Source organism: Homo sapiens, chromosome 6 (assembly GCF_000001405.40).
Source record: "Homo sapiens chromosome 6, GRCh38.p14 Primary Assembly".
Taxonomy (NCBI): domain Eukaryota; kingdom Metazoa; phylum Chordata; class Mammalia; order Primates; family Hominidae; genus Homo; species Homo sapiens.
Window position 1 is genome coordinate 170,239,361 of NC_000006.12, and position 13,024 is coordinate 170,252,384.

General features: G+C 54.1%; 3 annotated features.

Annotated features, from left to right (window-relative positions):
- Positions 5,039-5,804: an enhancer, noted in NCBI's record as "H3K4me1 hESC enhancer chr6:170553487-170554252 (GRCh37/hg19 assembly coordinates)". NCBI's record gives its function as "activates a minimal SCP1, AML or CMV promoter by ChIP-STARR-seq in primed H9 embryonic stem cells {active_cell/tissue: H9 hESC(primed)}" and the evidence as "EXISTENCE:reporter gene assay evidence [ECO:0000049][PMID:30033119]".
- Positions 5,805-6,570: an enhancer, noted in NCBI's record as "H3K4me1 hESC enhancer chr6:170554253-170555018 (GRCh37/hg19 assembly coordinates)". NCBI's record gives its function as "activates a minimal SCP1, AML or CMV promoter by ChIP-STARR-seq in primed H9 embryonic stem cells {active_cell/tissue: H9 hESC(primed)}" and the evidence as "EXISTENCE:reporter gene assay evidence [ECO:0000049][PMID:30033119]".
- Positions 12,399-12,899: an enhancer, noted in NCBI's record as "H3K4me1 hESC enhancer chr6:170560847-170561347 (GRCh37/hg19 assembly coordinates)". NCBI's record gives its function as "activates a minimal SCP1, AML or CMV promoter by ChIP-STARR-seq in naive H9 embryonic stem cells {active_cell/tissue: H9 hESC(naive)}" and the evidence as "EXISTENCE:reporter gene assay evidence [ECO:0000049][PMID:30033119]".

The following is a 13,024-nucleotide window of genomic DNA, read 5'->3' on the forward strand; positions in this document are numbered from 1 at the left end:
ACTAAACTGGGAGTGAGTGTTGGGGGCGTGCACTGGCCACTGCTCCCAGGCCTCTGAAGTATAAACAATGGGCTCAACTGCAAAGACTCCTGTTAGACATCAGAAGGAACCAAGGCTGCAAAATGCTAGGCATCAGAACAAGAACTCAGTCATAAAAATATATATTTATAACAAAATATAGCTAGAACATAAATGCCCAACAAAAGGGGGCTAGTTAAATAAACTTAGAATCTGTACCAATAGAACATCCTGTAGACACTAACAATTATGCGTAGAAGAAATTTCAAACCACCATCTGCAATTAGGTTGGTTGCTGGCTAGCCTCCACCTCAAATGTCTCTGACTTCTCTGTCTCAGAGCCACGGACTCCTTTGACAAGCCAGTGAAAGAAACTGACCATTTACCTAGAAAAACTCACCAACACCCACCATTTTGCCCAGTTTTAAAAGTCTCACAAAACCAACAAAGCCCACACGGAGACCTCCTACTGGGAATACCACATCTCCAGGGGCCACGCCTCCAGCTTCCACGCCTCCAGTGGCCATCACTGCCTGCTGCCTTGTCCCAGAAACCATGGCAAGAGTGCCCAGGCTTGAGCCCACACGGGTGTCAGTGGGGTGGGTGACACACATCTCTTCAAAAAGCAGCATCCTTGTTCCCTGCATGCTTGCTGAGCTTGACATAAGTGGAGTCCCCCAAACCCAGAACTCAGGTCCCCCACCAGACCTTAGTTTGGAATGACTGAACTACTGATCAGTAGGATACTCCAGCCCCAGAAGAATTAGGAAGGGCTGAGGGGCCTGGGGAGTGGTAGCTCCTTCCTAAGAACTCTCCAGCAGACCCCCATGTCCTGTAATACACAGAGAGGAGAGAAAACACCACTCAACCTGTTGTCCGTGGGGAAAGGGCCCTGTGGTTTCCAAGAGACCGAAGGATTCCAGACCCAGTTAAAACAGCACAATTCTACCTGAACTCAGGGACACAGGGACGCAGGCAAAGTCAACCTGGTTTTCCCAAATCCACCGCAGATCCCATGTAAGAGTAAAATGGGGCCACGCTTTCAGGAAGTAGCTCGTCCCTAAGTATGAAGCATCTGAAGTGGGTTCTAGAATAAGCAGTTCACCAAGAAGAAATGCAAGTGAACCATGAACATATTTTTATAGGTTAGATTCACAAGTAATTAAAATTGTACATGGTACCAAATTTGCAAACTTTTTAGTATCTATATTATTAATGTGATAAATATTATAATAAATACATTTATAAATATTCCATAATATTTAGTATCTGTATTTAGAGTTAGCAAGGACACAAGAAACTGTCATAAACTACACACACACGTTCAGATATTGGGAGGACAATGTAGCGTATAACTGAGAACCTTTCAAAGGTTTGTGCATTTTAACCAGTAATTCTGTTTCCCAAAATTGATCTTAAAGAAATAATTAGAAGTTTATGGAACCATTTTTATACGAGCATATTCATCGCAGCTTTATTTAATAGGAGTAATAAATAGATGCAACAATCATGATCAATGAAAGGGGGTTAAGTAAATTTTAGAATATCTGTATGATTAAACACTTTCTAGACATGATAAAATCATGTTTTAAAGAATATTTAATGACACAGGAAGATGCTCACAACATCGTAGTTAAAGAACTAGTTCCATTGCACGGCAATGAGTGTGCGGCTGGCAGTATCACACCACGCGCATGGGAATTTTGAGGAGAGTGAGTTTAATGCTATGTGGGTTTTTCTCACAATTAAAGGAAAGCTGCTTACAAAACTGAAGGACCCCAGTTTTGAGAAAGATGTATGTAATATAAGCAAAGGGAGGAAAACTTTAAGGATACACATTACATATTAACAGTGGCTCTGTTAGTTTTTTCTTTCTTCTTTCTTTCAGCTAGCTACAATGTCTCTTTATGAACTGAAAGAAAGGGAAATTATTTTGTTTCATATTTCTTTTTTTTTTTTTTTTAGATGGAGTCTGGCTCTGTTGCCCAGGCTGGAGTGCAGTGATATTTTGGCTCACTGCAACCTCTGCCTTCAAGCAATCCTCCTGCCTCAGCCTCCCAAGTAGCTGGGATTACAGGTGTGTGCCGTCACGCCCAGGTAAGTTTTTTTGTTTTTTGTAGAGATGGGGTTTCACTGTGTTGCCAAGGTTGGTCTTGAACTCCTGAGCTCAGGCAGTCCACCTGCCTCAGCCTCCGAAAGTGCTGGGATTACAGGCATGAGCCACCGTGCCTGGCCTTGTTTCCTGTTTCTACATGTGTCCCATTATTCTACTCCTGAAAAGTTAGCCCAAATAAGTTTTTTTAGCTCTAGAAAAAGAAAATATCTTTAAAGCAAGTTTATCCCAGAATTGTCTGTGAAAGCAAAGACTTTTACCATTTCAAATGTTCAAATAAGTATTAAAAAGAAGAAAATGTTAAATAAGAGAATATATCAAGTCAGTGGACTATTATATAGACAAGACAAAGGCAGAGACATGCACACATAATAATGTGAAGCAAACGAATCAAGGTTTAAAGTGAAGCTGTGACCCTAACTCTAAACACAGACAGTGGACGTTACGCATGGGAAAGGGAGGAAGAAATACCGGTCTCAGGCCGGGCGCGGTGGCTCACGCCTGTAACCCCAGCACTTTGGGAGGCCGAGGTGGGCAGATCACGAGGTCAGGAGGTCGAGACCATCCTGGCCAACATGGTGAAACTCCGTCTCTACTAAAAATAAAAATAAAAATAAATAAAAAAATTAGCCGGGCATGGTGGCAGGTGCCTGTAATCCCAGCTACTTGGGAGGCTGAGGCAGGAGAATCGCTTGAACCCGGGAGGCGGAGGTTGCAGTGAGCCGAGATCGCGCCACTGCACTCCAGCCTGGGCAAAAAGAGCAAAACTCTGTCTCAAAAAAAAAAAAAGAAAAGAAAAAAAGAAATACCAGTGACCCTAACTCTAAACACAGACAGCGGACATTACACGTGGGAAAGGAAGGAATACCACATGGCCAGTGCTGCCTATGCTGGCGAGACACAAATGATTTTATTTTTCTACTTCTTTCTTCTCTAGATTTTCTAGAATGAGCAGCAATTACTTTTGAATTGGAACAAATTGTGTTCATAAGCATAAAAATCACATCTAGATTTCTTTCTACCTCAAGGAGAGAAACATTTTATTTAAGGTCAAAGACTTGGAATTCTTCACACTTGCCCCTTGCTATACCATCGCAGACCGTAACGGCCCCAACAGAGACGCTTTGAGTACAGGGTGCCTGAGGCAGGATCCAGGCCTACAGAGGGCTCGACAGGCAAAGCCCCTCACAGCCCACAGGTCTGCCCCAAGACACTCCTCTGTGCGGTCAGGAAGCCATCTCTGAGCCTTGGAAAAGACGCAGGTGTGGCTTAAGGTATTAAAACATAAACGTTGTAAGAAATCCTACTATCGTGTTGGCCGTAAATGTGATAACCCTTAAAGAATCTTTGGATTCATTTCTGAAAGCATTTAGAACACAAGTTTTCTTTCTCTCTCTCTCTCTTTTTTTTTTTTTGAGACAGAGTCTTGCTCTATCACCCAGGCTGGAGTGCAATGGCGCAATCTCGGCTCACTGCAACCTCTGCCTCCCGGGTTCATGCCATTCTTCTGCCTCGGCCTGCCCAGTAGCTGGGAATACAGGTGCCCACCACCATGCCTGGCTAATTTTTGTATTTTTAGTAGAGACAGGGTTTCACCGTGTTAGCCAGGATGGTCTCCATCTCCTGACCTAGTGATCTGCCCGCCTCGGCCTCCTAAAGTGCTGGGATTACAGGCGTGAGCCACCGCACCCGACCCCACAGGTTTTATTTTTCATAAGGTAAGCTATTAAGGGATGTCTACACCTACACACACACACACACACACACACACAGCACCTCCAGTCAGCACACAGGAACACAAAGACACACTCACATATATGGACGGCAGACGCCAGTCCCGCCACATGCAAGCACACACCAAATCACATTCTCCCTCCTCACAGAGTCATACTCCTTTCAGTGAAACCAGAACGTCCTCCCGAGAAAGTCTCCAGAGTGGAATTTCCATCCCCAGAGGTCACGGGGAATCAGGTCTCTCCTCTGCCCGCTGACCTTCCACTGAGGAGTCTGCGATTTACAAGAACTTCTTTCTGAACACTCCTGATTACAGACACTCTAAACTGGGTGCCGCCTGAGCTCATAATAAAGAGAGAGTGAGTATTTGTCTTGTAATGAAAACAACTGACCTCGCACAATAGGATGATAGATAATGCATCAAACCAGCATATGAGCCCTTTAGAATCTCACATTTGGAACTGGCCAACATCAATTATTTAAACACAAATTGAATTAACAAAATATTCAACATATGTTCTTTTAAACTCTGCTAAATTGGATGAGACATCTAAAAGCTGATCTGTGGGCTCAGCCTCCTTCGAGAGGGGGGCAGGCAGCGGGGCAGGCGTCGGGGAGGGGCGGAGTGAAGCGCAGGGAGGTGGTCAGCTCCGGGCTGTGCTGGAGGCCTGAGCTCTCCACTCCCAGAGGAAGGGGTGATTAATGCCACCACCAAATGTGCCTGTGCCTAACCCTGACCTCATCCAGCCCTGCTGCCACCATCTGCTGTTTCTAATTCCTCTGCAATATTTGTATTTGCTGCCTCCCTCCGACAAAGAGCGGGGGCGGGGAGCAGTGCTCCCTACTTAGCGACGTGTGATCTGGTTGGCTGGCGGGGCCCGGCCAGAAGCATCTGTTGCTGCAGTCCAGCAGCATCTGCCACTATTTCTCACTTTCCCCAGCATGCTGGGAGATACGGTTTCTCCCAAAGGTGGCCTTTCCATGCACACTGTCAATCCCATCATTGTCCGCCCGCCTGTTCCCACGGTGCCGGCCCCGTTGCCATGCTGCCGGGCCTTTGCTTGCTGGCTGTCTGTAATCCAAGATATTGTGTGACTGAGTTATGCCATTAACCCTCCTCCTATGCATCGGGACATTCAATTAAGCTCAACAGGAGAGGCCGGCTGAGAGGGAGGTCTGTCTGCTGGGGAGGGACGGCCCACTTCTAGGAGCATTTACAACAATAATAATAACTGCGACGACCCGCGGGTACTGTCATAAATAGTGCTGAGGGCCAGGGAGACAGGAACGGTTCTTGGCAGGGCAGCTTTCTCCTCTCTCACTGTTTTTGTTTCTTTAACTTAAAATGCTATAAAAGGATGCATTGTTTTCTCCTGATTCTTGATAAGGCTATTAAGCATTGTGATAAGATGTGTGTGTGAACGCTATTATTTATGTGTCGAGTGTTAAACACCTTCTGCTAATGGGGTGCAGCCTGGCTGTGCATGCACGCAGTGTCCCAAGCTGTCCCTGGGCCTCACCCTTGGTCAAACGCCCAAACATCCAGAGCTGCTGCGGGGACCTTTCCGAGGCGGGAAACTTACTGAGGCAGCGCCTGCACACAGAACTGCAGTTCCCCTGGAAGATGCTCTGAGGCCCAGACGTAGAAGGACAGCAGCCTGTCAACAGCAGGGCCGCCCTTGGCAACTCGGCTCTGTGTCCCCAAAACACTCCCGAGAGCTCAGGGAGGCCCCGGGGATCTCCCCTAATCACTTCCTGAGAGCAAACGGCCTTCCTACGAATGGCCAGGTGTCAGGATGGCCCCACAGCTGCACCATCCTCCTCACGGGCCCCCCACTGTGGCTGGTCCTAGGTGGCTGAGCTGAGGGAGCGCTGTGGTTCGCTGTCCCCGCAGGACACAGGGCCCCGCGAGAGAGGCTTGTGGCCGCCCCAGATGACCTCAGCTCCCTGTCTGTGGCCGCTTTGTCTGTCGACTGCAAGGTCTCCAGGCCACACGACCACTTTGCAGATGATATTTGAGTACAACCAGACTTTTAAAGTAAGTTCGGAGCAGGAAAAGACTTTCTTCAGTTAGAAATTTCAGTGCTGATGAGTAATGCCATATTGAATATTCAGGAATTCTGGATATTCTAAATTTGTAAATAATCAGCAACTTGCTGAGCAGGGGACGTTGACTGAAGGCCAACTGTGCACCTGGCAGAGACACACGAGGAGCTTGTTTTCTCCTCCTGCCAGGCCCTCGCAGGTGATCGGGTCTCCTCACTTTATGGATGAGAGATGCAGCTAGCGACGTCCCGCACCTGACCCTAGACAGCACCAGCTCCTGGGAGAGCTGGGACGGAACCCACGTCGGCCCCAGGCCTTCTCCTCAAAGGCTTTGCTGTCACAAAACGTGGATGAGGAATAAATCCAGGAGAGGCCGGGGGAGAGCACCAAGGTCAGATTGCACCACGGGGTGGGAGAGCGAGGGTGAGCAGCCGTCGCGAGGGCTCTCACGCCAAGCCTGCAAATGCAACCTGAGGGCCTGGGATTTTCCCACATGGCTGAAACGTGAACCCCTTCCCATGGCCCTGGCTGTGCAGTCCTCCTGGTCGGAACATCACACGGCTGTTCTCCAAGAGTGGTTCCTGCAAATGGCCCCCGCTGTGAAGCCCTGGGAAGCCCTGGGACCTCACACCCAAGCGGATGCAAGCAGCGCCTGCCTGGAGCCCTGATGCCCGGCTGCTGGGTGCCCACGGGGGTGAAAGGGAGATGTTTACATGGCAGGCGTGGGCTCCCCTCCCTGGGCGAGAACCGTGGGAAACCAAATTTTATAAGTGTGGTTGTTTGCCTCACAAACCAGCTTCTGTGATCATCCATTATCATGTCATTCATTACACTGCATCCAGTCTTAATCAGAACTTCCTGGCCATGCGGAACACGAAGGTGAGTGCTGGCGCCCTTCTGCAGGCTGCTGTGTCTCCGTCCTGCAGCCGCCCCCAGCACCGGCCCTCACCGCCCCTGCAGCCGCCCCCAGCACCGGCCCTCACCGCCCCTGCAGCCGCCCCCAGCACCGGCCCTCACCGCCCCTGCAGCCGCCCCCAGCACCGGCCCTCACCGCCCCTGCAGCCGCCCCCAGCTCCAGCCCTCACCGCCCCTGCAGCCGCCCCCAGCACCGGCCCTCACCGCCCCTGCAGCCGCCCCCAGCTCCGGCCCTCACCGCCCCTGCAGCCGCCCCCCAGCACCGGCCCTCACCGCCCCTGCAGCCGCCCCCAGCTCCGGCCCTCACCGCCCCTGCAGCCGCCCCCAGCACCGGCCCTCACCGCCCCTGCAGCCGCCCCCCAGCACCGGCCCTCACCGCCCCTGCAGCCGCCCCCAGCTCCAGCCCTCACCGCCCCTGCAGCCGCCCCCCAGCTCCAGCCCTCACCGCCCCTGCAGCCGCCCCCAGCTCCGGCCCTCACCGCCCCTGCAGCCGCCCCCAGCACCGGCCCTCACCGCCCCTGCAGCCGCCCCCCAGCACCGGCCCTCACCGCCCCTGCAGCCGCCCCCAGCTCCAGCCCTCACCGCCCCTGCAGCCGCCCCCCAGCTCCGGCCCTCACCGCCCCTGCAGCCGCCCCCAGCACCCGCACTCACCGCCCCTGCAGCCGCCCCCCAGCACCGGCCCTCACCGCCCCTGCAGCCGCCCCCCAGCACCGGCCCTCACCGCCCCTGCAGCCGCCCCCAGCACCGGCCCTCACCGCCCCTGCAGCCGCCCCCAGCACCGGCCCTCACCGCCCCTGCAGCCGCCCCCAGCTCCGGCCCTCACCGCCCCTGCAGCCGCCCCCCAGCACCGGCACTCACCGCCCCTGCAGCCGCCCCCAGCTCCAGCCCTCCAGGCCCCTGCAGCCGCCCCCAGCTCCAGCCCTCACCGCCCCTGCAGCCGCCCCCAGCTCCAGCCCTCGCCACCCCCAGCAACTGTGCTTATGGCCCCTGTTCTTTCTGTTTGTCACTCTTTCCACACTGAGGTAAAACCTGACGAACAGGAAGGAGTGTAAAAGGAACAGCTTTCAGGGCAGACCTGAGCCACAGAAAAGACACTGTTCAGGGCGATGCCGCCTCCCTGAGCATAAACACGGGCTCTGCCCACGCGGCGCTCGCCGGAACCCCAGGATAACAAAGCTGGAATGACTTCACCCCGGCTCCGACACGGCTCTGCTCTCCGTGTGTGATTGATGACATCAGTCTCAGCACCTCTCCTCACACACTCAGAACACTTTTCCTCAGTTGCCACCAGCATCCACCGAGGTGGGGTCATGAAGGGGACCCAGGGGCCCGGCGGCTGCTCCTTCCCATGCACTGGGCAGCTGCGGCCCATGGGCCCCTCCGCCGGGTGTACCAGGCTCCTGGACAGGAGAGAATGACGCCACGCAGGAGACGAGCTTGCAGAGGCAGGAGGGCAAGGGCAGCAGCAGAGGCAGGAGGGCAAGGGCAGCAGCAGACCCAGGAGGCACCATGAGCTCTTCCCGAGGCACTGCCTCACATGGGCGCCATCCACCCAGCTCAGCTCCCAGGGGCTGGGAAGTTTCCACAGAATATAATGGGGTGGTCTTTTCTAAACTGTAAATCATCGTACAGCCTTAGGGCAGAAATATCAAAGGCAAGGACAAAGGACCAGGATGCCAGACCTCCTGACCCATCACTGGGCCCCTAGAGCCAAGCCCACTCCTGTCCACACCTTCGTCACACGTTTACAGAGTGAACAAGTGAATGAATAATGAGACAGGGAGATGAAGGGGCATCTGGCCCCAATGCCGGTGAAAACCAAGATGCCGGTATATGCAGAGAAGAAAACTGAGATGACGGTGTACACCGAGAAGAAAAACGAGATGACGGTGTACACCAGAAGGAAACCAAGATGAAGTCAAGTCGAGGCCTTCCAACAACGGTCTGTGTGCGGCCCGCGGGGCCAGAGGTCCAGCCAGGGTTTCCGGAGGGCTCCCTGAAGGCTCACAGCTGTGCCTGGCACTGGCCTGCTGCAGACAGCCAGGGTCTTTACAACACGGGGCTGTGTGTGGGAAGGGCTGGATTCCCATGCAGAGGAAAAGCTGTTCACCAGCGTCTGTGGCTCAAAGTTACTGCAACGCAGAGCGGGGAGCGCTGGCCGGTATGAGCGGCTGCATCTCACACCACAGAAACGCACTTGGAGACGTTTCCCAGTGAGCGTCGCCTCTCCTAATGCTGAGCCCTGTGGGAGCAGAAACTGGAGCCGTCTCACTCACTCAGTAACAACTAAGAGCATGATGTGGAAGCCGGCAATTAAACCCCCTCCAGTGGGCCGCAAGGTTCCCCAGCCATACCCCACCATCAGCTCTCAGAGCGACGCGACAGGGAGAGCAGGGTGTGCCCGCATGGTCGGATGGCAGCCTCCGAGGCAGCTGCAGCCTGGTCTCCGGCCACCCTCCTCTGCAGCCCGACCCACACCGTGCGGGAACGGACATCCAGAGAAGCCACCTCATTTCAGCGAGGCTGTCCCCAGAGAATATGGAGACTATGGAGATGCAGTGAGACGTTGTAGAAGAAGGCGGCTGCAGGTCCCTTGTTAGAGCACTTTAGCCTAAAACAACATTAAAGAGTGAGTTGGAAAAGTTGATTTTTCCTGTGAATATTGGTGCATGCTCAGGGACCAGCAGCACAGCTGTCCCAGCGGAAATGGAGGAATGAAGTTTCATTCATAGTCGCACTAGAGGAAAGCCAGCCCAGGACGAAGCTCAGCCCAGGACGGAGAGTCCCGCGGAGTGGGGGGGGTCCGGCTGCCTGCCTTCCCCTCCAGCGGCTGCCCCTCGGTGTGGAGACCCAGCCCCACCCCGGCCCCCAGGCCTTGCCGGAGAGGGGTCTGGCCTGCAGCCCTAGGGGGTCTCACTCCCTCTGGGGTCCGGCTCTCTGGCAGCCTTCCTGACACCTTCACAGCAGCACATGCGGCTCCCACGCTGTCCCCCACCCCGCAGCTCCCCTCATCTTTAACTACACACACGTTCTTCTCCCTTTCCTTCAACTCCCCGGGGGTGGGGCAGCAGTGCTGTGAGGGTCTAAGAGGGGTCTGTGATGACTGAGGGTTTTGTCATATCCCATCCATCCCGTCCTGGCCACCAGCAGCCCCAAGGTTGGGCCGGTGCCCGTGAACATGGCAGGTGAGTGAGATGTGGAAACGGGACAGGCATCCCCCCGCCAGCTGTGGGGTGCGACCCAGGGCTGTGGGCAGAGCGGGAGCCACAGGCTGGGCTGGGCACAGGCCCCACATAGATACAGGATGGATTTCACAGCCCCTCTGCTGCTCCCTTTGTCGTGCTGAAGTGAGGTTGGAGCAAAATCCACACCTGCCCCGTGCATGGGCCTCAAACCCCCTTCTCACTGCGCACTGGGCATTCAACACCCAGGAGCAAGGCCTGGGAGGGAACAAAGTCTACCCTCCCCAGCTCAGAGACACACACTGACCCATGCTCGGGCCGCAGGAAACACAGACCAAACCCAAGATTAAAAACCCAGTACCTACAATCAAATCTCGACCTTTAACGCAAGCTTTGTTTCTCACCTGAAAGATAGAATTTGACCTTAAAATTGGGGGTGATTTCATTCTGGATATGATCAGAGGACTAGTGAGGAAACTGAGGCTGAGGCCATGACATCACATCTTACAGAACCCATGGGAAAGTCCGCACATCTGTGGGGGACGCTTTGTGTGTGTTCCTGGAAAGTTGCAGGACTGTGGTTGGAGGGTGTGGACGCGTGCGTGTCCCACGGCCTGGGCAGGATCTCGCTGTGATGCCGGCCTGGAAAGACACTGGCCGCGGCCGCTGCCCTTCCCATTGGAACCAGACACCAAATGGTGTCTGCTTTGCTCGGTGCCTGTTATTTTGAGGAGTGGCCCTAACAGCTCTCCTGAGGGGTGGCCTTGTTAGCCTGCCTTTCCCAGAGCCCCTCGCTGTGAAGCCACCCCTGTAGCAGCAGCGTGTCTCCGGGAGGACCCAGAGAAGCAACATCACCCATGTGCTGCACGGAACCCTAACCCCCGCATGTCCACCCTCCTGCCTCTGGGCCTGGACACCTCAAGACTCCAGGAAGAAATGTCTAGTCCCTTTGCACCTCCCAGAAGCTGCAGCAGCACCTGCGGAGCAGACACAGACGCAGACGCAGACGCGACTTTCTCTCAAGTCAAGACCACATCAGACCTGAAAATTCAGTCATGCCCTGGCCTGAATGCAGCACCGCGAATGGAGCACTTTAAACTTTCTTAAGAGCTGTGAAAATGTATCTTTTAAAAATATTTTTATTTACTTAACATGTTAACAGTTCCTGCTAGGCACATTTTACCAAAAAAAAAAAAAAAAATACCCACACACACGGTTTGGGGCATCCAAAGGCTCTGGGAGCAGCTGCAGGGCTCACGGGGGGCGACACAGGCCTGTGAGTCAGCTCTTTTACTACGCTTTGTGCTGCCTGTATAAATGACCTAATCTATCCGCCGGGCGTTTCAAGGGGGAAAAGGAAAGGGTTTATGAAACCCAGGTTGAAATGGAGACACCGAGGCACAGTGCCTCTCCGGAACCCAGAGGAGAGTCACGGAGCCCACTGGAGAAGACCTCAGCCGCCATGAGACCCTGTGCATTCATTTCTGTGCATGCTGTTTTTAAATTAGAAAAACTCAAAGCTTCTCCCTGTGACAACAGCCATTCAGGACGAAGCAAGGAGCCATCCTGACACTTCATCAGCTGATTGATTGATAGGCTGGAAAGTCTACGGCGAAAGGGAAAAGAAAAAAGGACACGGGCGTTCACTGACGGGATTCGTGGCTTCCCTCGTGTGGCCACCTCATCCAAACACGGGCCAACGGGAACTTCACAGGAGATCACAAGTAATCCTGCACAGGCAGAAATTCAGATGTGCGGCCTCACCTAATCTGACTGGGATTTGGAAGAGGTAAGATGTTTGTTGAACTGACTCATCGGTGATAGTTCTTTTGTTTCAAATAAAATGGAAGTAAGGCTGACACCCACATGCCCTGTGTTCAGCTTGTGACCTGGAACGGATTGTTCCTGCAGAAGGAGCTGTGTGATCCAAAAGCCCAAGTATTTCTGGAGATTTTCCCCTTGGCTTGCTGCACCATGACCATAAGGTGGACGCCTCTCATCTGGAAACCAGGGTAGTAACATGAAAGGCTAAGATTATCTAGATGTTCCTGGGACAGAACGTGGAGAACGTGGCCCATCTGAGCTGTAGCCCTTTCCAGGGGCGTGAGCTCAGCATCTGCAGAAGACGCCTGTGTCAGAAGGGACCAGTGGCTTTTCCCACCCAACGTCCACGGGGCTCCAGGCCCAGTGGCCCCTGCAATGCCCCTGGGCAGGCACCTGCTTGAGCCCAGGAACATTCCAGGAAGCCCCACAACGGTGGTCCTGCCAACAGACCCCAGCCAGTCATCCTCCCCCACAGGCCGCCTTTTCCTGAGGGAAGCTTCCAGAAGCCAGGGTAGGCTGCAGGCCCAGAAAGCCCACGAAATGCCAGGCAGGCACCAAGGTGTTCCTGTGGCACTGTGTGAGCACCCATCGGCGGCGTGCACGGCCCTCTATGAGCTCACGCGTGTCAGCGTCTGCAAAGCCCATCGGCGGCGTGCACGGCCCTCCATGAGCTCACGTGTGTCAGCGTCTGCAAAGCCCATCGGCGGCGTGCACGGCCCTCCATGAGCTCACGCGTGTCAGCGTCTGCAGAGCCCTCCACCCGCACATGGGGTCCCAGCCACCATTCACTTCTCCTTACAGCTGACACGAGTCGTCCCAAAGCTGAGTGGCCTTGACAGGTCTTAGCAGCCTCAGTGGCTAGGTGAGGTCCTTTCTGGAGGGATGCAGGACCTGTCTCTGGGGCTGGACCCATGTGAAATGGCGGTCAGCATCCGCCGTGTGAGAAAGGCTCCGGCGTGGATGAGCTGAGCTCAGGAGACCTGGGCCATGGCGGCTGCTGGTATAGGAGGTGCAGTCACACAGCTCAGACCCAGGGCTCAGCTCCTGCTGCACGAGCGCTGATGGCATGGATTGCATAACAGGACAGTGTTCTCTAGGGCCCCTGCCTCTGAAAGCCCAAGTTACACAACCAACCCGACCCCAGGGTCCTAGGAAAGCAAAAGCCATCTCGCCAGAGGTGAGCTCCACTGAC